Source organism: Homo sapiens, chromosome 8 (assembly GCF_000001405.40).
Source record: "Homo sapiens chromosome 8, GRCh38.p14 Primary Assembly".
Lineage (NCBI taxonomy): Eukaryota > Metazoa > Chordata > Mammalia > Primates > Hominidae > Homo > Homo sapiens.
The window spans coordinates 119,975,076-120,001,421 of NC_000008.11; the positions used below are offsets into that span (position 1 = coordinate 119,975,076).

The following is a 26,346-nucleotide window of genomic DNA, read 5'->3' on the forward strand; positions in this document are numbered from 1 at the left end:
GGACTGCTGGAGCCCAGGAGTTTGAGACCAGCTTGGGCAACATAGCAAAATCCCATCTCTAAAAAAAAAAAAAAATTTTTTTAAAAAGGACAAAAGGACATTTCCTTTACAGATGTACATTTTTGAAAGGACAACTTTTTGGAGCTACTGCTGTGTCTGCAGCTTCTCAAAATAACCAGTACCAAACAATCCTTATGCCAGGTAGCCATATTTCAGGGTGGCATGTCCTGAGCCCCATCAATTGCAACTTTCTCAAGACTATATGGCATTAAGAAAAAAATTATTGACACTTGTTAGAAAAGTAAGGAAAACTTTGTTTAAGATAATTACAATAGGGGTATTGCAATAGGGGAGACAGATTGGGCTCAACTTAAAATATAGGGACAAGTAGGGATTTAGAGTCAAGGAGCACAGTGCGGAGTCGGTCAGTGGATGGAAAATTACTAAATAGGAGACTTAGGGCAGAGAGATTCTTGCTCAAGACAGGCCAAGGACTTAGAAATCAAAGGTGGAGATAACAAACTTGATTGGGTATCAAGGGTGAGGGATTTTCAGTATACTGACTTATCAGGGTTATTTGCTAAAACTGGGCTGGGTAAGCCAAGACAGCAGGATGAGGGGTGGAGTGGAGGGGAAGGGAGCAGCAAGGTGGAGGCCCAGTAGAAAAGAGGGCTCAAAGGAGCCTGACTGAAGCTTGGTCCAGGGGAGCGTCTAACAGTGCCGACCTAGCCTTGCTTGCCCACCCGCCCTTCCTCTCTATCATGGCTCTCCTGCTCTCCTACTCATGCTTGCTCCTTTTTTTTTTTTTTTTTTTTTTTTTTTTGAGATGGAGTCTCACTTTGTTGCCCAGGCTGGAGCACAGTGAACCGAGATTGTGCTGGGTTCAAGTGATTCTCCTGCCTCAGCCTCCTGAGTAGCTGGGATTACAGGTGTGTGCCACCACACTGGGCTAATTTTTGTATTTTTAATAGAGACGGGGTTTCACCATATTGGCCAGGCTGGTCTTGAACTCCTGACCTCAGGCAATCCACCTGCCTGGCCCTCCCAAAATGCTGGGATTGCAGGCATGAGCCACCACTCCCAGCCCCCTACTCATGCTCTCTGGTTTGCATTTGCTAACTTCTTGCCAAGAGGACTTGCAAGTCAAGAAGAAGAAATGGAGGAGACTTCTTTACAGATGGCACCCTGTGTCTTAGCCTTTCTTTACCCCTAACTAGAGAGTAAATGTTTTAAGGATAGAGAAGTTGTTTTGTTCATTTCTGTATTCCTATTGGTTTGGCGCATATATATGTCGTATCAGCAAAAAATACGATATATATATATCGTATCAGCAAAAATGTATTGAATGAACAAGTGACAAAAGTGACCACTTACTGAGGACTTGGCCTTTGCTGGGCACAATACTGGTGTTTATACCAGCAAGCTTTCTTTGAATAGAAGCAGCTCCAATCATCACTTCCTTTAAATATATGGCAGAGCCAGCTGATAGTTAAAGGAAATGTTGAAAACAAGGCTACCTGAAGAAGAGAAACTGAAGCAACTCTGGGGATCCAGGAACCAGGAACTAGTGACTAAAAACTAATCCCTTCCAGCCACCTATGGCCAGGTGAATCAGCTCTGTTTTCTGCATATGCAGTTGCCGTCTCCAGATGCTAATGTTCTAGAGAGGACCCTTATTGGCTGGGTCGGGTCACAGGCTCACCTCTTGACCCTGGGTGGGGACCCTTTGACTGACAGATTCACCAAGTGGGAGAATGGGGGTAGTTGTTCCACCCTCCCCCCGCACACCCTGCAAAGAAAAAAGAAAAAGCAAGCCCTGTTTCCACAGGAAAATGAGTGCTTGGCAGGCTGTTCTTTACTGCTATTAACTCATTTAATCTTCACAAGCAATCAATGCACTTGATACTGTTATCTCTCTTTTTAAATTTTATGCCATTTTTTATTAGATGGAGTCTTACTCTGTTACCCAGGCTGGAGTGCAGGGGTGCAATCTTGGCTCACTGCAACCTCCGCCTCCCGGGTTGTAGCGATTCTCCTGCCTCAGCTTCCCAAGTAGCTAGAATTACAGGCACGTGCCACCACACCCAGCTAATTTTTTTGTACTTTTGGTAGAGACGGGGTTTCGCCATGTTGGCCAGGCTGGTCTCAAACTCCTGACCTCAAGTGATCCGCCCGCCCTAGCCTCCCAAAGTATTGGAATTACAGGCATGAGCCACTGCACATGACCATGTCTCTGTTTTTTTTAGATGAAGACGTTGAGGCATTTGCAACTGGTATAATCATTCTTAGCTCCTAAATGTTCAACTTTGAACAGAAAAAAAAAAGCTGGGTAGAGTATTTTCTCAATCTACTTTCAATATTTAACATTTCAAGTGTAATCTTAGCAGCAGCTGTAATCTAATCTAATTTTTTACTTTCCGAATTTAGACTTTCTGGGCATTTTCCCACTGTGCTCTCTCATATGCTTTGGCCCTGTGTTACTTTCTATTGTAGCTGAATCCAATGCAGGAGGAAGAATAGACACAGCCAGAATGCTGTTGTAATGTAAATAGAAAGGAACAGGTTGCTTGATAGAGGGCCAAGACATTGGCACACAATAAAGTATTGGTTTATGTTAAAGGAAAATGTACCTATAACGGCATCAAGCCTTAACTTTTCAGAAAGTATGAAAGGAATACAGGATGCCTTATCTTATGTAATATTTTGAAAGAAGAGTGTTATGCACACAGACGAGAGGTTTCTTTCTCTCTCTCTTTTTTTTAATTTAAAGATGGGGTCTTGCTATATTGCCCAGGCTGATCTTGAACTCCTGGGGTCAAGTGATCCTCCCACCTCAGCCTCCCAAAGTTCTGGGATTACAGGCATGAACCACCATGCCCATTTGAGGTTTTTCTTTTGTAAACAGTGTCATACCTATGAATATTTCTTTCCTTCTTGACATTAGTAGAATCTTTGTCCATTGTATATAAACTGCTTCTCGAGGTACAACCTATGCTTGCTTCTGAAGCCTGTGTTCCTACCCACCCCTGCCTCAGTCCTGACAGCTCGTCACCCAGTGTCCCCTGCAGTATGAGGTCCTCACTTTGCCCAAGCATGATCTTTTACAACAGCACACAGAAGTCTTAAAACGCCAGCACAATATCTCTATGCAGTTGAGGTATATTGAAAGTGTGCTCCTACTGAGTGCTCAGCTTGGCCTTATCTGGTCATTTAAATCCTCAGCAGGGTTTAAGTGGTCATTTTCAGTGGGGCCTGTAGAATGAGGTCTCAGGCTCGCTAGAAGAGCATATCAGGTTTCTCAGTCTCCTGGGTGGAACAGAGAGTTCAAACTTCAGATTCTGATATGCTTCATCTCTCTCCTGGTCAAAGAGTGCTGTGGTATTAAGTTCCAGTTCCTGATGAACGTGAGCTAGATCATACTCGTCAATGGGAGGCGGGGGCTGAGGAGACAAGGGGACCAAAAGTTGAGAGGCTCTCCTTTAAGCAGTGAATTGTTTCCATTCTCTTTCCATCACAGACCTTTTTTCTAGCCCTGACCCTTGTGTCAACCTTGGGTGAGTTTCTAGTATCAGCCCCCTCCCAGCTGGGTGGCTAGGGGGTTTGGGCTGGGATTCCTGTCTGGGACCCAGGCTCTCCTTATGCAGGTATAAACAATGATTACTCTCAGCTGTTTCAGCCTTGCTGCACTGCTGTCACTCATGATTCTTCCTCTAAAAGTTTTTCCACTAGCTGCTTCTGGCTTTTGATTCTGAGCCGCTCACTATAATTCAGTTTCTCTTAGCTGATAACTCTCATCTCAGTACATCTGGGTCGTCTTTTCTGTTTGGCTCTCTGATTCTTTGGAAAAACTCCTTCTTTCTATCTTCCCTCTCCCTGCTCCCTGCTCCCTGCTCCCTGCTCACCCCCACTCCAGCCAGGAATGGATAAACAAGTCCAAGTATGTTAATGCCAGGGAGTAACTACCAGGAATAAAACTGAGCATAAGCAAACTCATCAGTGTGACCACGGAACGGTATGAAGATGAAATTTAAGAAGGAATCTCACTTACACTCACATACATCTATCCTGACTATGATTGGAAAAATATGTGTGTTGATTAATATTCATAATCAGTTTTGATTTAGAGAGTAATGTTTTTAAAAATTATTAATTAGTATGTTATTTTAAAATCAACATTTTAAAGGCTAGAACTTTTCATCCAGCTTTTTTTCTTTTTCTTGAGGTGGAGTCTTGCTCTGTTGCCCAGGCTGGAGTGCAGTGGCATGATCTTGGCTCACTGCAACCTCCACCTCCCAAGCACAAGCAATTTTCCCTCCTCAGCCTCCCAAGTAGCTGGGACTATGGGCGTGGCTAATTTTTGTATTTTTCATAGAGACAGGGTTTTGCAATGTTGCCCAGGCTGGCCTCCAACTCCTGACCTCACGTGATGCACCCGCCTTGGCCTCCTAAAGTGCTGGAATTACAGGTGTGAGCTACTGCACCTGGCCCAGCTTTTTTTCTAGAAAGCTTCCCTTTACTTTTTTCTCCTCTGAGTGATGACACTTAACCCAACAAAGAGCTCACCCCACCCCCGCTTCCATCCAAGGAAGGCCTGCGTATCAGGGTTCATATTCTTTAAATTTTATTTTAGCCACTCCCCAAGCTGTCCCAGGTTTTGGTCATATTGGCAGTTGGCAAAGCCTCCAGGCCACTGGGGAAGGGGTGGGTGTTGGTTTTGCCCCACTGGCTCACTCCTGTGACTCTGAAATCCTTCTTGGTGCTGAAATCATAACCTCAATGGGGGATTCCTCTTAAGTGGGAACAAAATGTGCTTCCTCATCAAAATAAGGGAAATGGGATGGGGGAGATAGTGTGAGAAAAACTGGAAAAACTCTTGATCATTTGCTTGTTCAGGACAAGGATCATCTTCTATGGCAAATGGCTTTCAAAGTACTGTACCCAATGAAAGGGGTGAACTTGTTTGTTGGTTGGCTGTTCTGTTCTTGTGGGAAATCAGCCACCAGACCAGGGCTACCCAATGAAAATATGCTAGGAGCCACCAAGACAATCTACATATGTGATTTTAAATTTTCTAGTAGAAATAGCAAAAAAAAAAAAAGGAGGAATGGGTTAAATTAATCTTCATAATATACTTTAACTCGCCATCTCCAAAATATTATCATTTAAAAATGCAATCTATATGAAAAATACAAATTAGCTACTTTACATTTTGTTATACTAAGTCTTCAAAATCCAGTGTGTTTTTTCATTTTAATCAGACTCACATTTCAAGGCTCACGTGGCTAGTGGCTGCCATCTTGGAGAACACAGCTCTAGGCCGTTTTGAAACCAGCAGAGGGCAGCATGGTGTCCTGACCTGTGTGCATTTCATTTTTCTTTTTTCTTTTCTTTTCTTTTCTTTTCTTTTCTTTTCTTTTCTTTTCTTTTCTTTTCTTTTCTCTCTTTGTGTTTTTTTTTTGGAGATGGAGTTTTGTTCTTGTTGCCCAGGCTGGAGTGCAATGGTACAATCTCGGCTCACTGCAACCTCCGCCTCCTGTGTTCAAGCAACTCTCCTGCCTCAGCCTCCCAAGCAGCTGGGATTACAGGCATGTGCCACCACAGCCTGCTAATTTTTGTATTTTTAACAGAGACAGGGTTTCACCATCTTGGCCAGGCTGGTCTCGAACTCCTGACCTCAGGTGATCCACCCGCCTCGGCCTTCCAAAGTGCTGGGATTACAGGTGTGAGCCACTGTGCCCAGCCGCATTTCATTTTTCAGTCCCTTATCTCTGTGATCTTTGTTCCTCTATGTCTGAGATTTCTGATATCTGTATTTTTACAGTGCCAGTTTGGACATCCATATAAAGTGGGTACCAGCCACATAGGTAACAACAAATGTTCTCCCTTCCCCAGCACCATGATTTCACAATCCTATTTTCTTTCTCTCTCAGTTTTTGATGAGGAAGCTAAAGCCCAAAGGTATTAGGAAGTCACCCAAAGAAAACACAGTAAATGGCATGAGGAAAATAGAACTATAGTGTCTGACTCCAGAATCCAAGTTCCAAACAACTGTTCTATGGCCTCCATGAGAAACAATTCCTGTGCTTGTTTAACAGGTTCTCCTAAAGAATCGAAACAATGTCCATCAAACTGTTAATGTATGGCTTCCAAACTGAATTAACACCAAATTCTACACTACCAATTATATTTTAGGGGGAGTCTATTCAGGTCAATTTGCAGCTTAAATTTTCTACTTTTTCTTTCCACTCCGTTTTTACTTTACCTTTGATTTTTTAATATTTCCAGAAGTCAAAAATGTAGGATGGGCACAGTGGCTCACGCCTGTATTCCCAGCACTTTGGGAGGCCGAGGCAGGCAATCGTTTGAGGCCAGGAATTCAAGACAAGCCTGGGCAACACAGTGAAACTCCATCTCTACAAAATATCAAAATAATTAGCCAGGTGTGGTGGTGCACACCTGTAGTTCCAACTACTAAGGAAGCTGAGATGAGAGGATCACTTGAGCCTGGAAAAGTCAAAGCTGCAGAGAGCAGTGATTGTGCCACTGCACTCCAAGCAACAGAGCAAGACCCTATCTCAAAAAAAAAAAAAAAATGTAGTTGGCTATTATTATTTAGACTGGACTTGATTTTGGCAATTCTCTTAAATTCCTAGTCTTCAGGCTGGGCGTGATGGCTCATGCCTGTAATCCCAGCACTTTGGGAAGCCAAGGCAGGCGAATCACAAGGTCAGGAGTTTGAGACCAGCCTGGCCAACATGGTGAAACCTCGTTCTACTAAAAATACAAAAAATTAGCTGGGAGTGGTGGCGGGCGCCTGTAATCCCAGCTACTCAGGAGGCTGAGGCAGGAGAATCACTTGACCTGGGAGGCAGATGTTGCAGTGAGCCAAGATCATGCCACTGCACTCTAGCCCAGTCGACAGTGTGAGATTCCATCTCTAAAAAAAAAAAAAAAAAAAAAAAAAATTCTAGTTTTCATTGTGGGGGTCCTTTGGAGTTTTACTGACAGCAGAACAATATTATTAATGCTATATTAGCATTATGGAGACCATGTCTTTCAGGGAGAGATTGGTTTCTACATATTTATTACTTTCACTTGCTTTGGATAAAAGAATACAGTATCGTAATTTCTCTTCCACAGATGGAAAAATTGAGGCCTAAGGACTGAACATAACATAACTGAACATTCCCCTGTTCTGTTGCAGGGGAATCTGAGCCACATTGCTAGAAGCCATGTCTTCTGACAGCTTGACTTCCTGTCTAAGCAGCTTCGTGGCTTCTGAGTCAAGCATAGTTTCTTACACGATATGGGCTTCAAAGAGATAGAAAGTGTTTGTTTCCTAAGCTTTTGATCTTATGTCTCTAGACTTGAATTTGGGATGCTAGCTGGGTTGTGTTTAGCAACAAATAACAGAAAGTGCAGTAAAGATAGTTTAAGCCTCTAGACTTGAATTTGGGATGCTATCTGCGTTGTGTTTAGCAACACATAACAGAAAGTGCAGTAAAGATAGTTTAAGCAGTGAGGTTTCTCTGCCTCCTGAAGTGAGATGCCCCCAGGTCTAGAATCCCAGGCTGACACTGAGACTCCCCACAAAGGCGCTGTCCATCTCTCTCTCTCCTGTTCTTAGTGTACACCAGGCCTCATGTCTGCACTCTGGGCAGGAAGAACAGGGAATGGCAAAGAGTTAAGAGCAGAGAGGTGTCACCTAGCAAGACTTTGCTTTTTATCTGGGAAGGGCAGTCTGTCCCAGGGATTTCATCCTACATCTCATGGGCCAGAACTGTGTCACATGGTCACCCCATGCTGGAAGGCAGTCGGTGACTCATATGGTTTTGGCTGGGCACACTACTGCCCTGAGCAAAATTCTTAAGGAGGAAGAAAGAGAGATTGGGTTTGAATAAGCAGCTGGCACTGTCAGCTACAAGGACAAATGTCTTTTTCATTAAATAACTAAGCAAACTTCCTTATGAAACATACGCTTTTAAGGAACAGCTTTCTTCCTGTGTCAACACAAATAGCTCTAAGCTAGATTTAAAAGCAGATGGGTATACCGATGTTAATGTCTCAGTTTCAACAAATGTACCATAGTTATGTTAACATTTGGGGGTGCTGGATGAAGGGCATAAGGGAGCTATCTGTACTATCTTTGCAGCTTTTCTTTTTTTTCTTTCTTTTTCTTTTTATTTTTTTTTTGAGATGGAGTCTTTCTGTGTCTCCCAGGCTGGAGTGCAGTGGTGCAATCTTGGCTTACTGCAACCGAGTAGCTGGGATTACAGGTGTGTAGCACCACGCCCAGCTAATTTTTGTATTTATTTACTTATTTTTTTGAGACAGAGTCTCACACTGTTACCCAGGCTGGAGTGGAGTGGCGCCATCTCGGCTCACTGCAACCTCTGCCTTCCAGGTTCAAGCGATTCTCCTGCCTTAGCCTGTTTAGTAGCTGGGATTACAGGTGCCCGCCACCACGCTCAGCTAATTTTTGTATTTTTAGCAGAGACGGGTTTCACCATGTTGGCCAGGCTGCTCTTGAACTCCTGACCTCAAGTAATCCGCTTGCCTTGGCCTCCCAAAGTTCTGGGATTACAGGCATGAGCCACCGTGCCTGGCCTTCTTTGCAGCTTTTCTATAAATCTAAAGTTATTCTAAAATGTAAAGTTTATTTTTTAAAAAGTAGGTGGGTTTTTTTTTCCTGCATCTTCTTTTTTAAAGCTATGAACAATATAGAAAATATATAAAGACAGTTAAAAAAAAGACTATGTCTTGCCACTGCTATCTTCCTTTTCTGAACTTTAGCCTCTTCCTCCTTTGAGGGTCTGTTGACATACTGACTTTATCTCTTCAGTCTCAAAAGCAGCACCTGATAAATTACTGTGCAGTAAAGCACCAGCAAGTTAATATGGTAACCTTCCTGGGAATACTAAGAAAATGCCATGCAGGAGTGAGCCTTTGGGAAGAAACTTTCACATCCTGGGGTTCCTGGGAAGGATTTTATTTCAGTACCCCACTGTCTGTTCCCCGAGACCACCTAGAGTTACTTCTAGACCCTTCTATAAAAATAAGGTCTGAAAAGGCTTCTACCTTGGAAAGATATCCTTTTGGCCCTGACACCCTGGGCCCTTGCATGGAAGCACACATGGCTAATATTTATGGAATCCTTCTATGGACCAGGGACGCTACTAGGCCTTTTATTTTATTTTTAAATTTTATTTTATTTTTAATTTTTGTTATACTTCAAGTTCTGGGACAGGTTTGTTACATGGGTATATACCTGCCATGGTGGTTTGCTGCACCCATCAACCTGTCATCTACATTAGGTATTTCTCCTAATGCTGTGCCTCCCCTAACTCCCCACCCACCAACAGGCCCCAGTGTGTGATGTTCCCCTCCCTGTGTCCATGTGTTCTCGTTGTTCAGCTCCCACTTATGGGTGAGAACATGCAGTGTTTGGTTTTCTGTTCCTGTGTTAGTTTGCTGAGAATGATGGTTTCCAGCTTCATCCATGTCCCTGCAAAGGACATGAACTCATCCTTTTTTATGGCTGCATAGTATTCCATGGTGTATATGTGCCACATTTTCTTTATTCAGTCTATCATTGAGGGACATTTGGGTTGGTTACAAGTCTTTGCTATTGTGAATAGTGCTGCTATAAACATACGTGTGCATGTGTCTTTATAATAGAAAGATTTACAATCCTTTGGATATATACCTAGTAATGGGATTGCTGGGTCAAATGATATTTCTGGTTCTAGATCCTTGAGGAATTGCCACACTGTCTTCCGCAATGATTGAACTAATTTACACTCCCACCAACAGTATAGAAGCATTCCTGGGCTGGGCACAGTGGCTCATGCCTGTAATTCCAGCACTTTGGGAGGCCAAGGCAGGCGGATCATGAGGTCAGGAGTTTGAGACCAGCCTGGCCTACATAGTGACTAAAAATACAAAAAATTAGCTGGGTGTAGTGGCAGGTGCCTGTAATCCCAGCTACTTGGGAGGCTGAGGCAGGAGAATCACTTGGACCCAGGAGGCAGAGGTTGCAGTGAGCCAAGATCACGCCATTGCACTTCAACCCGGGCAACAGCATGAGACTCTGTCTCAAAAAGAAAAGTATTCCAATTTCTCCACATCCTCTCCAGCATCTATTGTTTCCCAACTTTTTAATGATCGCCATTCTAACTGGCATGAGATGGTATCTCATTATGGTTTTGATTTGCATTTCTCTAATGACCAGTGATGATGAGCTTTTTTTTTCATGTTTGTTGGCTGCATAAATGTCTTCTTTTGAGAAGTGTCTCTTCATATCCCTCACCTACTTTTCAATGGGATTGTTTTTTCTTGTAAATTTGTTTAAGTTCTTTGTAGACTCTAGATATTAGCCCTTTGTCAGATGGATAGATTGCAAAAATTTTCACCCATTCTGTAGGTTGCCTGTTCACTCTTATGATAGTTTATTTTGCTGTGCAGAAGCTCTTTAGTTTAATTAGATCCCATTTGTCAATTTTGGCTTTTGTTGCCATTGCTTTTGGTGTTTTAGTCACGAAGTCTTTACCCATGCCTATATCCTGAATGGTCTCTAAGAACTTGCTTTATGAATCTCAGTTCTCCTGTATTGTGTGTATATATATTTAGGACAGTTAGCTCTTCTTGTTGCATTGATCCCTTTACCATTATGTAATGCCCTTCTTTGTCTTTTTTGATCTTTGTTGGTTTAAAGTCTGTTTTATCAGAGACTAGGATTGCAACCCCTGCTCTTTTTTTTTTTTTTTTTTTTTTTTTTTTTTTTTTTTTGCTTTCCATTTGCTTGGTAAATATTCCTCCATCCCTTTATTTTGAGCCTATGTGTGTCTTTGCACATGAGATGGGTCTCCTGAATACAGCACACCGATGGGTTTTGACTCTTTATCCAATTTGCCAGTCTGTATCTTTTAATTGGGGCATTTAGCCCGTTAACATTTAAGGTTAATATTGTTATGTGTGAATTTGATCCTGTCATTATGATGCTAGCTGGTTATTTTGCCTGTTAGTTGATGCAGTTTCTTCATAGTGTCAATGGTCTTTACAATTTGGTATGTGTTTGCAGTGGCTCGTACTGGTTGTTCCTTTCCATATTTAGTGCTTCCTTCAGGAGCTCTTGTAAGGCAGGCCTGGTGGTGACAAAATCTCTCAACATTTGCTTGTCTGTAAAGGATTTTATTTCTCCTTCACTTATAAGCGTAGTTTGGCCTGCATATGAAATTCTGGATTGAAAATTCTTTTCTTTAAGAATGTTGAATTTTGCCCCCACTCTCTTCTGTCTTGTAGAGTTTCTTCTGAGAGATCTGCTCTTAGTCTGATGGGCTTCCCTTTGTGGGTAACCCGACCTTTCTCTCTGGCTGCCCTTAATATTTTTTCCTTCATTTCAACCTTGGTGAATCTGATGATTATGTGTCTTGGGGTTGCTCTTCTCGAGGAGTATCTTCGTTGTGTTCTCTGTGTTTCCTGAATTTGAATGTTGGCCTGTCTTGGTAGGTTGGGGAAGTTCTCCTGGATAATATCCTGAAGAGTGATTTCTAACATGGTTCCATTCTCCCTGTCACTTTCAGGTACACCAATCAAACATAGGTTTGGTCTTTTCACATAGCCCCATATTTCTTGGAGGCTATGTTTGTTCCTTTTCATTCTTTTTTCTCTAATCTTGTCTTCATGCTTCATTTCATTAAGTTGATCTTCAATCTCTGATATCCTTTCTTCTGCTTGATCGATTCAGCTATTGATACTTGTGTATGCTTCACAAAGTTCTCATGCTGTGATTTTTCAGCTTTATCAGGTTATATATATTCTTCTCGAAACTGGTTATTCTAGTTAGCAATTCCTCTAACATTTTTTTCAAGGTTCTTAGCTTCTTTCACTGGGTCAGAACATGCTCTGTTAGCTCAGAGGAGTTTATTATTATCCATCTTCTGAAGCCTACTTCTGTCAATTTGTCAAACTCATTCTCCATCCAGTTTTGTTCCCTTGCTGGTGAGGAGTTGTGATCCTTTGGAGGAGAAGGGGCATTCTGGTTTTTGGAATTTTCAGTCTTTTTGTGCTGGTTTTTCCTCATCTTTGTGGATATATCTACCTTTGGTCTTTGATGTTGGTGACCTTCGGATAGAGTTTTGTGTGGATGTCCTTTTTGTTGACGTTGATGCTATTCCTCTCTGTTTGCTAGTTTTCCTTCTAAGTCAGACCCCTTTGCTGTAGCTCTGCTGGAGTTTGCTGGAGGTCTACTCCAGACCCTCTTTGCCTGGGTATCACCAGTGGAGGCTACAGAACAGCAAAGATTGCTGCCTGTTCTTTCCGCTAGAAGCTTTGTCCCAGAGGGGCACCTGCCAGATGCCAACCAGAGCTCTCCGGTATGAGATGTCTGTCGACCCCTGCTGGCATATGTCTCCCAGTCAGGAGGCATGGGATTCAGGGACCCACTTGAGGAGGCAGTCTATTCCTTAGCAGAGCTCGAGTGCTGTGCTGGGAGATCCAGTGCTCTCTTTAGAGCTGGCAGACAGGGAGGTTTAGGTCTGCTGAAGCGGCGCCAACAGCTGCCCCTTCCCCCAGGTGCTCTGTCCCAGGGAGAGGGGAGTTTTATCTATAAGTCCCTGACTGGGGCTGCTGCCTTTCTTCAGAGATGCCCTGCCTCTAGAGAGGCAGCCTGGCTACAATGGGTTTGCATAGCTGTGGTGGGCTCTGCCCAGTTCAAACTTGCTGGTGGCCTTGTTTACACTGTGAGGGGAAAACCACCTACTCAAGCCTCAGTAATGGCAGACACCCTTCCCCCCACCAAGCTCGAGTGTCCCAGGTCGACCTCTGACTGCTGTGCTGGCAGTGAGAATTTAAAGCCAGTAGATCTTAGCTTGCTGGGCTCCATTGGGTTGGGAACTGCTGAGCTAGACCACTTGTCTCCCTGGCTTCAGCCCCCTTTCCAGGGGAGTGAACAGTTCTGTCTCGCTGGTGTTCCAGGCACCACTGGGGTATGAAAAAAACCTCCTGCGGCTAGCTCAGTGCCTGCCCAAATGGCTGCCCAGTTTTGTGCTTGAAACCCTGGTGGTGTAGGCACCCGAGGGAATCTCCTGGTCTGCGGGTTGTGAAGACTGTGGGAAAAGCATTGTATCTGGGCTGGAATGCACTGTTCCTCATGGCAGAGTCCCTTAGGGCTTCCGTTGGCTAAGGAAGGGAGTTCCCTGACCCCTTGTGCTTCCTGGGTGAGGCAATGTCCCACTCTGCTTCTGCTCGCCCTCCATGGGCTACACCCACTATCTAACCAGTCCCAATGAGATGAACCGGGTACCTCAGTTGGAAATGCAGAAATCACCCACCTTCTGCGTTGATCTCACTGGGAGTTGCAGACCAGAGCTGTTCCTGTTCGGCCATCTTGCCCAGGTCTAAATTTTATTTTACAAATATTTTTTTGAGATGGAGTCTTGCTCTGTTGCCCAGGCTGGAGTGCAGTGGTGTGATCTTGGTTCACTGTAACCTCTGCCTCCTAGGTTCAAGTGATTCTCCTGCCTCAGCCTCCCGAGTAGCTGGGATTACAGGTGTGTACCACCATGCCTGGCTAATTTTTGTATTTTTAGTAGAGATGGGGTTTCACCATTTTGGACAGGCTGATCTTGAATTCCTGACCTCAAGCGAACTGCCCGCCTCGGGTCCCCAAAGTGCTGGGATTACAGGTGTGAACCACCGTGTCCGGCCTACTAGGCCTTTTACATATGTTGTTTCATTGTTCCTCCAATTCATTTTATAGATGAAGAAAACTAAAATTCAGAGCAGTTAAGTAATTAAGTAAATCGTTAAACTGGCATTCAACCCTGGGCTATCTGAGATCAGAGCAATGTTTTCTGTGCTATAGCCATATCCTTTTTTTTTTCTTTTTTTTTTTTTTTTTTTTTTAATAGAGATGGGGCTTTACCATGTTGCCCAGGCTAGTCTCAAACTCCTGAGCTCAAGTAATCTGCCTACCTTGGACTCCCAAAGTGCTAGGATTACATATATGAGCCATCGTGCCTGGCTGCCACATTCTTTTGGTAAGCAATTCCAAAGTAATTAGCATTTTATGGTGGTGAATATTTCTTTAAAAATTATTTTAAATAAATAGAGACAAGGTCTTACTATGTTGCTCAGGTTAGTGTCAAACTCATGGGCTCAAGTGACCCTTGTGCCTTGGCCTCCTAAAATATTAGGATTACAGGCAGGAGCCACCGTGCCGGGCCATTGGTTAAGAATTTTATGGAAAACATTTCCAGCCAAATTACCGTCTGTAACCTGGAAACAGGAATAAATGTGGGCAAAGCAGACTCCACTCTCTTGTTTTGCAAGCTTGTCTGCCTCCTCGTTTCCATGATCACACCTTGAAATGGGAGGCAGTCTAGTGTGGAGGTTCAGGGGTGAGACCTGGAGTGAGTCCGTCAGCACTTCTCTCTTGGATCTTCTTGTTAGTGACTCTGAGATACATGGGCAAGTTTGCCTTGTCTAAGCCCCAGTTTCCTTATCTGTAAACTGGGAATCATAATATGGGAATATAATATATATGGGAATATAATAACTCTCTCATAGTACTGTTTTGAGAAGTAAATGATATAAACCTGTAATGTGCTTGGCACAGGGCCGTGCACAGGCTATCTATCACTCAGTAAATGATAATTATCATTATTTTTATCATCTACATTCTCATTATCAGATGCCTGAGTGGGTGAAGCTTAATGTATTTGATGACCTCATCCATTGCTGGTCTTGAACAGTATCTTATACATACTCTCTGCTATTACGTGCTTGTTAAGTAAATCAACACTGAAATACTTTGATCGGGCCTTTGGGTTTAATTATTTTGCCAATAATTTCAAAAGATCTAGAATAGAGTTACAGATTTCTTTTGTTGAATTATGTATCTGAGATATTCCATTTGCCGGATGAAATAATTTTGTTTTTAGGCTTCTCTGCACTTACAGTACAATCTAGTTTCTGATAAACAAGATTATCTTTGAAAATCCTACCCCTTGTTCTGCATGTTATCACTAACAGTAGAGGTTCTTTCTAGTCTTTGGAATGTACCCAGCTATTATTTTTATTTGTTTATTTAGTTTTTTTTTGAGACGGAGTCTCACTCTGTCGCCCAGGCTGGAGTGCAGTGGCGCATCTCTGCTCACTGCAAGCTCCGCCTCCCAGGTTCACGCCATTCTCCTGCCTCAGCCTCCCGAGTAGCTGGGACTACAGGCGCCCACCACCATGCCCAGCTAACTTTTTGTATTTTTAGTAGAGACGGGGTTTCATCGTGTTAGTCGGGATGGTCTCAATCTCCTGACCTGGTGATCCGCCCGCCTCAGCCTCCCAAAGTGCGGGATTACAGGCGTGAGCCACCATGCCCGGCCACCCCAGCTATCGTTTAATGATACATACAGAAGAATAAAACATAGTTTGACTTTCCATCTGTTTATTGCCTTTACATTTCTGGCAGTAAGACACAGAAGCTGCAGCACTCAGACAATCACAGTGTCATGTTTGGTTTTCTATCTTTACTAAAGTTACTTTGAATCCTTTTACTTCTTTTCCATCCTCTTGCCTCCCTTCAATCAATTAAATAAGTGTAAGTGGGTTATAACTTTGTGAATGTGAAGTATTTTGTTTCAGTAATATCAGTTAATAGGACTTTATGTCCTACAATCAATTTCCTGCTTTCATATCCTCTTGTTAATGTTGTCAGTGCTAAGGAAGTAATTATTTTAGTCCTCTGACTCACTGTTGTTATTGCCTTTTGGAGAGTTTTGTATCCCAAGCAGCTAGCACCGTTTTTATGGAGTAGGCACTTAAAAACAATTGCTTACTGTTTTGAAAAGTCGATTCAAGGACTTTTGCTGCTTTAGGAAATAGGGCTCCTTCAACTATTGCTTCCATTTAGGATGGCTTGAGATGGTTGAGATGGCCTTAAGTACAGCTCGGGTTTTCTTTTCTTTCTTTCTTTCTTTCTTTCTTTCTTTCTTTCTTTCTTTCTTTCTTTCTTTCTTTTTCTTTCTTTCTTTCTTTCTTTCTTTCTTTTTTTTTTAAATCTTTTATTCTTGGTTTGGGGGTACATGCGAAGGTTTGTTATGTAAGTAAACATGTATTACGGGGGGTTATTGTACATATTATTTCATCACCCAGGATATTAAGCCCAGTGCCCAATAGTTATCTTTTCTTCTCCTCTCCTCCTCCCACCTCCACCTTACCCCTCATGTAGGCCCCAGGGCCTGGTCTTTTTTTGTTGTTTTTTGAAACAGTGTCTCGCTCTGTTTCCCAGGCTGGAGTGCAGTGGCACAATCTTGGCTCACTGCAACCTCCTCCTCCCGGGTTCAAGTGATTCTTGTGCTTCAGCCTCCCAAGCAGCTGGGATTACAGGCGTGTGCCACCACACCGGGCTAATCTTTTTTCATTTTTAATGGAGACGGGGTTTTGCTGAGTTGGCCAGGCTGGTCTCGAACTCCTGGCCTCAAGTGGTCTGCCTGCCTCAGCCTCCCAAAGTGGTGAGATTACAGGCATGAGCCACTACGCTTGGCTTGGCTATTGTTTCCTTCTTTGCATTCATAAGTTCCTAACATTTAGCTCCCATTTACAAGTGAGAACACGAGGTATTTGGTTTTCTGTTCCTGCATAAGTGTACTAAGGTTAATAGCCTCCAGTCAGATTTTCTTTAAAAAAAAATAGCTTCAACTTTTCTATTGTAACTAATTCTTAAATAAGGTTTTTCTACAAATGCATGATTAAAAAGCATGTTATGAATATTTCTTCAGTCTTGACCATTTTTAAATTATGAAATATACTAAATGATATCAGATGCTTGGACTCTGTCAGACTGTGATCTAGCAGGACCCAGAAGACAAAATACTGCAAATCTATCCCTGGATGTGTGAAAGAAGTTAAAGCTTAAGTCTTGCTGGCAGGGAAACCACAGTACTTTTGTATGCAGAATTTACTCACCTTCTAGAAACACCAAGTCTAAGGAATAGGTCTACCATCCATTTATCCTTGCAGTTTATCTGTGATTTTGAGCAATGTCTATCAGGGCTAGTCTATCAGAGATCAGTAGTAGCTAAGAAAATAAGAGGAAAAGGAGTGAATGGTTGGATAGAGTGCCATCCTTGGTGACCAAAAAAATGATCCTTCACAGAAGCCCCAGCCACCCTTGTGCACTTGGTGAAGCAGTGAGCTGGCAGCTAGTGAGGGTCTTATGTCTTTAAGGTGATCTTGATGACCTCTGTAACTTTGACACTGGTTTGCAGTTAGCCCCATCTTGCTGACCTTCTTCTTCCTCAGTAGGATAATCATCATCTTTATTCCCTCTCTGTTTAAGTCTGTTTTCAGTCTACTAAGTTGTTTACGTGACCGTAAGTCCAAGACCACCTTTTAAAAATTTTTGATGATGTGTCATCCAGGGCACAGTTGATGTCTGCGCATTCCCTATATGGTGCTATCGTAGTGCTGGATTCAGTTCACATGCTTCATGATGCCTGTTGTGTTATATCATTTATGAGCAAGCATTTCAAGGATGAATGAAAGTATGTGACCTTCCTCCTTCCAACTAGATAAGTAGAGTAAATTTTTTTTTTTTTTTTTTTGAGACAGAGTCTTACTCTATGCCCAGGCTGGAGTGCAGTGGCATGATCTTGGCTCACTACAACCTCTGCTTCCTGGGTTCAAGTGATTCTCGTGCCTCAGTCTCCCAAGTAGCTGGAATTACAGGTGCGCACCACCATGCCTGGCTAATTTTTATGTTTTTACCTGAGACAGGGTTTCACCATGTTGGCCAGGCTAGTTTCGAACTCCTGACCCCAGGTGACCCACCTGCCTCGGCCTCCCAAAGTGCTGAGATTACAGGTGTGAGCCACTGCGCCCAACGAAAATAGTTTTATATTCAGGAGAACCTGTAGAATTCAAGATGATACATTTTTATATTCATCCTTGGACTACATGCATGAGTTGAATGGGAGCCAATTTCCCCCCTTTTAAGTAATCAGCTTCTATTATTTCTTTGTCTGCTAAAATCATCCTAATAATATATAAGGGAGGAAAATGTAGTCACGTTATCCCCAGAAAGAAGAATATATCTGTACCATGTCACTTTATTATTTTGGTAAACTACATGACATTTCCCTCATGATTTCTGCAGTTAAACCTAACGGTGTATAGGGATCTGTTTTTCTTTGACCAAATAGTGAATTGAGTGCTTCTAAAGTTCCAACTTTCCTAAACAGAGATCCTGTTGTATTTATGTGGCTCTAGCTTTCTGGCTACATCTGCTTTTCTTCCTAGTTTAAATCCCATTTAATACGAAGTCAAGACAAGGCCCTAGAGAATTCTACCAAAGCAAAAGGGAAGGCTTGGAAAGTCCCAGAAATTATCAATTGGATGAGTAACAAATTGTCAGTTTTCAATTACAACTGGTAAGATCACAACTGGAACATTAGATATTGAATGTAGATGTTGAACACTGCCTCTTTGAATCTTTGTCCTGTTTACAGATAAATAGTTCCAAGGAGCAAAAAATGAAATTTATCAAATGGTATGTATTATATTTACTATAATACGAAGGTCCTGTATATCACTGGGATCTGAGAAATGTAGAATTGGAACAAATTTAAGACTTACAGGCACAAACTGTTCCCCATGCTTTTTTCTTCCTTCTCTTTACTTTTTTTTCCATATCATGGATTTTTTTTTTTCTGTGTTTAACAAAAAGTAAGTTGTTTATGTAGCAAGGATTTTTATATTCAGTATGGAGTATTGCATGTTAATGTGTAGGAAAAAATCAGGCTGAGGCCGGGTGCGGTGGCTCACACCTGTAATCCTAGCACTTTGGGAGACTGAGGCAGGTAGATTACCTGAGGTCAGGAGTTTGAGATCAGCCTGGCTAACACGGTGAAAACCCATCTCTACTAAAAATACAAAATTAGTGGGGTGTGGTGGCAGGTGCCTGTAATCCCAGCTACTCGGGAGGCTGACGCAGGAGGTGGAGGTTGCAGTAATCTGAGATCGCACCATTGCACTCCAGCCTGGGCAACGGAGCAAAAACTCCATCTCGAAAAAAAAAAGAAAAAGAAAAAAAAAATCAGGCTGAGCGTGTTGGCTCATGCCTGTAATCCCAGCTACTTGGGAGGCAGAGGCAGGGCAATCGCTTGAACCCTGGAGGCGTAAGTTGCAGTGAGCCAAAATCGCACCACTCTGGATGACAGAGCAAGACTGTCCCAAAAAGGTGTACAAAAAAAATCAACTTTTCTCCCTCTGGAATACAAACTCTATGTCATTTAGCTGTTGTTAATTCTTGAGCCTCTACTTATATAATTTATGACTATAAAAACGATCTTTGACTTTCATAATCTAGTTACTTCCCAAACCTTACTGTGTCTTAATACACTGCTTTATTTTTTGCTTTCTGTCAACTTCTCAAGTTTGAATATCTTCCAGTGGTGCACTCACTAAACTTTAGCTGTATATCTGGTTATGATTTCATACGTTTTTCATAGGTAAAAGGATAACAAACTGCTCGGAGAAGGGCAATGTGTTCTTTAAAGAAAGTTAGGCCAGGCGCAGTGGCTCACACCTGTAATGCCAGTACTTTGGGAGGCTAAGGTGGGCAGATCACGAGGTCAGGAGTTTAAGACCAGCCTGGCCAGCATGGTGAAACCCCATGTCTACTAAAAATACAAAAAATTAGCCGGGCATGGTGGTGCACGCCTGTAGTCTCAGCTACTTGAGAGGCTGAGGCAGGAGAATTGCTTGAACTCAGCGGGTGGAGGTTGCAGTGAGCCGAGCTTGCACCAATGCACTCCAGCCTGGGCAACACAGTGAGACTCTGTCTCAAAAAAAAAAAAAGGAAAAAAGAAAAAGAAAAAAAAAAGAAGAATTAGAAGAATTAGAATTTCAGAATAAGTAGTAAATTAAAAAAAAGAAAAAAGAAAGGCAGAAAAGATAGAGGAAATGAGTTCTGCATAGGAACTTAAATGAGCAAAGTGTGAAGTCAATCTTTAGAAGTCTAAAATGAAGAAGGCTTACAACACTCTATGTCAGATGCCATGCCATATCTCTTACATAAATTATCTCATTTTTCCTTTGCATGGAATATATTCAAAAAATTGAACAAGTTGCCCAAATACTCAGATAGTAAATGTGGCAGAGCTAGGATTGAAACTGAAGATACCTGGCTGTAAAACTTGTACTTTTCATTGTATGATAAATTTTCTAAAAGTAGGCCGGGCACGGTGGCTCATGCCTGTAATCCCAGCACTTTGGGAGGCAAGGCGAGTGGATCACCTGAGGTCAGGAGTTCGAGACCAGCCTGGCCAACATGGTGAAACCCTGTCTCCACTAAAAATACAAAAATTAGCCAGGCCTGGTGGTAGGTGCCTATAATCCCAGCTACTTGGGGGACTAAGGCAGGAGAGTCACTTGAACCCAGGAGGCGGAGGTTGCAGTGGGCCAAGATCACGCCACTGCACTCCAGCCTGGGTGACAGAGCAAGGCTCCTCTGTCTCAAAAAAAAAAAAAAGAAAAGAAAAGAAAAAGAAATTTCTCAAAGTTACTCAGCATAAAAATTGTCAATAAAGTTCCAACTTAATTGCCATGTTCTTGTGTGAAATGATGTCTCTTTTAGCAGGCTTTGGTATTGGTGAGCATAAAGAGATGAGCAGATGAAGGTGTCATATTTCAATCACAATGTTAAGATCAGTAGCTGGGATGGAGTATGATACTTAGTAGGTGCTCAGTTTGTCAAATGAATGAATGTCACGTGTGATTTATTGGTGCCATAATATGGCTGTCTACCTGCACTCTTTCAGCTTTTGAAGCTGTGATTATATATATTAAACCTAAAACTTTACTCACACACAAAGCAAATGTGTGAAACTCAATGTTTATGTCATTAAACTGTTTATATCATTAAACTTTTAATGAAAGACAGAAAAAAGGCAAAATATTAATAACTTATTGGCAACAATGCAAGTGATACATACAATTGTCACTTTTGTATGCTGAGAGAACTCGATTCCATCTGTGCCAGCCACACAGCTAGGTGAATAAACACGTGGCAACCTTCATTTCAGGGAGGGTGGCTGCTCCTGAGACACTCGGATCCAAATCCATCCTTGAAAATTGAGGATGAATTGAAAATTCTTGAAAATCCTTGAAAATTAAATATTATATCCCATAAAATTGAATTCTCCTAGGCCAAATGTCAGCATATCATCAATAGGTGATGATAACAGTAAAAAACAACAGTGGTTGTAAAATAATAAATGTATAATTTATTGAGTACTTACAATGTATTTGGCATTATGCTGAACACTTATAGTTGACTATCTCATCTGGCCCTCATGTTACCTGACTTCCTCATGTTTGAGGTCACCTGTTCTATTGGGGAGAGAATGTGATGAAGAAGGACTATATAAAGTTGACTTTTGTATTTGATCTTAGATAGTATGTTTGCCCTGTTGGTTATAGGTGGTATAGAGGTGGGGAGGTATAAGCTGGAGACTGGATGTAAACTAAACACTGGGTCAGTAATTAAAGCTGGAGGAGATACATAATTAGGTCAGCAGTCAAATTTCTATTTCATTTAAAAATAATCTCAAAGTACTTTGAAGTCTGCTATAGATTTTTTTTGGATTTAGAATGCTTTTCTGGATTTATTTATACAGAGCCAATATTTTATGTAATTCACTGTGCAAAGAGAAAACAGTAGGTCTTAATAAATGTATACAGGGCTATATATTTGCAGGTTATAATTTTAAGATACTGTTGCCAAAGCCAACTTGAGGATTTTTTAAAAATCTCAATAAACTCAGAAGGTTGCCAGAAATAACTTACCTACAAAATTTTATTATAGCATTACTGAGTATAGCGATGTAGTGAATTTATGTAAAAATTTGACTATCCACAAGAGAGCCACATTGGTAGCTATCATATCAAAGTGTGATTGACTTATTTTTTGGTCCAGGTTGCATTAGGTGAGCCTCTCCTGAATCCAAGAATGGTTGGTTTATTTATGATTTTATTATATTTTATATTTTATTTTTTGAGACAGAGTCTCACTATGTTTCCCAAGCTGGTCTTGAATGCCTGGCCTCAAGCGATCCTCCCATTTCAGCCTCCCAAAGTGCAGGGATTACATGCATGAGCATTCACTGATGACTGGTTGATTGAGACAGGATCTCACTCTGTTGCCCAGGCTGGAATGTAATGGTGTGATCACGGCTCAGTGCAGCCTCAACCTCCTGGGATCAAGCGATCCTCCTGCCTCAGTCTCCTGAGTAGCTGGGACTATAGGCATGCTCCACCATGCCTGGCTAATATTTTAATTTCATTTTATTTTTGGAGACAGAATATGTTGCCCAGGCTTGTCTTGAACTCCTGGCCTCATGCTATCCTCCCACCTTGGTCTCCCAATGTGCTGGCATTACAGGTGTGAGCCACCACACCTGTCCAGATTATTTATTAAGAACATGTAGAAATACCACTGAATTAACTATACTTGTCTTTGAGGCCAACTTTATTCATTTGGCCAAAGTGAATATCACCATTTAAAAACTGTGGAATACCCATATGGATTATTAGATTAAATGCTGGCACTGGTGCTCTCTTAGTAGGGACCCAGGTTGTGAGACTTGATATTTATGTGACCAGAATAATTGTTTATTAACATATGTAGATAATAAATATAGTTACAACCCTAGATTGCATGTGTTGATGTTGACCTAGAGAGGATGTGATGCTGTTTGTGAAATAGAAAAGAGACTGTTGAACCAGTTAGCATGATTGATAAATGCGTTAATATGATTCTTAATGGGTTTTTATTATCTAGATTATTTTCCTAGTGGTTTATAACATTTTGAATTTTACAATCCAAAAAAAGTTGCCAGGATTGAATTTTTTGTTTAACTTCTGTTTTTACCATCTTTTCCTAAAACACTGGGCAAGAAAAGTACCTGGTATATAGTCAACCTAACTCAATACATGGTAGTTGAATAAATGGATGGATGATCAAACAACAAAAAAATAGTGGAGTCTTGCTCTGTCACCCAGGCTGGAGTGCAATGGAGTGATCTTGGCTCACTGCAACCTCCACCTCCCAGGCTCAAGCGATCCTCCCAGCTCAGCCTCCTGAGTAGTTGGGACTAAAGACATGCACCATGCCTGGCTAATTTTTGTATTTTTAGCAGAGGCTGGGTTTCAACATCTTGGCCAGGCTGGTCTCCAACTCCTGACCTCAAGTGATTCACCTGCCTTGGCCTCCCAAAGTGCTGGAATTACAGGCATGAGCCACCGCACCTGGCCTCATTGTGGGGTTTTAATGTGTATTTCCATATTGACTAATGAGGTTGAGCCTCTTTTCATGTGCTAATTAGATATTTGTGTGTCTTCTGTTTTTGTGTCATCTATTCAAGTTTTTTGCTTCTGGGGGAAAGTTGCATGAGACTTCCGCATGATGGTGACCAGTTTGCAGAGTCCCTGATGACTCTACAGACAGAAATGATCCAGGAACATGGCTTTTGGGGCCTGATGTACAACCTGCACTATAGCTCCAAGAATCATGAACTCAAAGTATAAAATTGAGGCAATAAATAAATCTCAATGGATTTCTAAGATATAAATGGTATAGAATTGGATGTACGTCCAGACTAATAGTCATACATGAGCAGTTTTATGGGACATGGTTTTGATTTTTATGATGATCTGGAGAAGGAATTGTTTCTCACAGAAGCAGTAAGAGCAGTGGTTTGGAACTTGGACTCTGGAATCAGATACTGTATTATATTTCTACCTCTGCCATTTACTATGTCTTCTTTGGGTGACTTCCTAATACCTTTGGACTTCAGTTCCCTCATCAAAAATAGGAAAAAAAAAAAAAAAGAAGAAGAAGAAATAAAATAGGCCGGGCACGGAGGCTCGTGTCTGTAATCCCAGCACTTTGGGAGGTCGAGGTGGGCAGATCACCTGAGGTTGGGAGTTTGAAACCAGCCTGGCCAACATGGAGAAACCCCGTCTCTACTAAAAATACAAAATTAGCCAGGTATGGGTGTGGTGGCGCATGCCTGTAATCCCAGCTACTTCGGAGCCTGAGGCAGGAGAATCGCTTGAACCCGAGACTCGGTGGAGGTTGCGGTGAGCCGAGATTGTGCCATTGCACTCCAGCCTGGAAAACAAGAGTGAAATTCTGTCTCAAAAAAAAAAGAAAAAAAAAGGAAATAAAATAATGGTACCTATATCCCAAGCTGTTGTGATAATTAAAGGAATTAGAACATATAAGACACTTACTTAAGGTCATGCTGGGTTTATAGGACATGCTGTATGAGGGCTAGCTCTTGTTATTACTGACTTCAAGTTGACACACTGGCATGTTTATATCACTCTAAAGTGTGGATTTTGGCTGGGCACAGTGGTGTGTGCCTGCAGTCCTAGCTACTTGGGAGGCTGAGGCAGGAGGATCACTTGAGCCCAGGAGTTCGAGGCTACAGTGAGCTATGATCGTGCCACTGCACTCCAGCCTGGGCAACAGAGTGAGTCTCTATCTCTAAATAAATTAGTAAATAAATAAAGTATAGATTTCCTTAGGGACTAAGCAGGCTTTATTATTGGGTAACCATTTATTTATGTATTAAACAGCAAACATAAATGGCAACAGATAGTATGATTCCACTTACATAATGTTCTCAAAGTGATAACATTGTAGAGATGGAGAGCAAAGGTGGTTGCCAGGCATCAGGAATTCAGTGAAGGAGGCCATAGAGGGGAAACACAGGGAGAGAGTTCTTCTGCCATGATTGTTGTGGTGGTTACAGAAATCTCTACGTGTGATAAAACCGCACTGAACTATATGTGCTCCTGCACACACATGCACACTCACACACACAAATCAGTGCATGTAAAAGCTGGTGACATCTGAATAAGGGCCGTAGACTGTACCGATGTCAACATTCTGGTTTGATATTATACTATAGTTATTTATGTAAGGGGTTACCATTGGGAAAATCTGGGTGAAGGGTACCCAGGAACTCTCTGTACTCTTTGCCGATTTTTTTTAACAGCTTTATGAAGATATAGTTCACATACCAAGCAATTCATTAAAGTGTACAATTGAGTGGTTCTTAGCATATTTACAGAGTTTTGTAATCATCACAACAGGCAATTTTAGAACATTTTCATCACCTCAAAAAGAAATTGTGTGCTGTAGCTAATACCCCTCCCAAACCAACCCCAAGGCCCCCCTCCAGCCCCTGGCAACCACCAGTATACTTCTGTCTCTAGAAGTGTCTTTGTTTTGGACATTCCATATGAATGGAATCATACAGTGTGTGGTCTCTGCATTTTCTTTGCAACTCTCTGTAAGTCTATAATTATTTCAAAATAAGAAGTTATTTTGGTTTTTTCTGAGACAGAGTCTTGCCCTGTTGCCCAGGCTGGAGTGCAGTGGTGCAATCTCAGCTAACTGCAATGTCTGCCTCCCGGGTTCAAGTGATTCTTATGCCTCAGCCTCCCAAATAGCTGGGATTACAGGTGTATGCCACCACACCTGGCGAATTATTGTATTTTTAGTAGAGACGAGGATTCACCATGTTGGCCAGGCTGGTGTCAAACTCCTGACCTCAAGTGATCCATCCATCCTGGCTTCCCAAAGTGCTGGGATTACAAGCTTGAGCCACCGCACCTGGCCTCAAAATAAAAAGTTTTTAAAAATGAATTGAGGGGCTGGGTGTGGTGGCTCACACCTGTAATCCCAGCACTTTGGGAGGCTGAGGAGAGTGGATCAGTTGAGGTCAGGAGTTCGAGACCAGCCTGGCCAACATGGTGCAACCCCGTCTCTACGAAAATACAAAAATTAGCCAGGTGTGGTGGTGGGCACCTGTAATCCCAGCTACTCGGGAGGCTGAGACAGGAGAATCGCTTGAACCTGGGAGGCGGAGGTTGCAGTGAGCCGAGATCATGCCATTGCACTCCAGCCTGGGTGACAGAGCGAGACACCATCTCAAAAAAAAAGAAAAAGGATCGAGTGTGGCTATGAGACAAGCTCTCTGCTGGGCAATGGGGACACATGAGTAAGTGAAGCCATGATCACTGCCCCAACAAGCTTAGAGTTTAGAGGGAAAGAGAAGGGGCAGACAGTGAGGGTGCAGTGTTATCAGTGCTTTGGTGGAAGCAGCACAGGAGCCAGGAGAACACTAGGAAGAATAGAACTCAGATTGAAAGCAAGGTCAGGCAAAGTTCCCCAGAGGAATTGGTTAGCAAATTTTTAAAGTGCATGTCACGTGGAAAGAACTTGGAACCATGGGCGGATGGGCGGCAGCTCATGTGGCATCTGTGGAAGAGAAGTCT

The 26,346-nt window shown here is 42.3% G+C and overlaps 1 protein-coding gene across 2 annotated transcripts in view; it reads left to right on the forward strand.

The window, feature by feature from the left end:
* Window positions 1–26,346, forward strand: part of DEPTOR (DEP domain containing MTOR interacting protein) — a 177,197-nt gene that overhangs the window by 101,354 nt on the left and 49,497 nt on the right. The gene's annotated exons all lie outside the window — the stretch shown is intronic.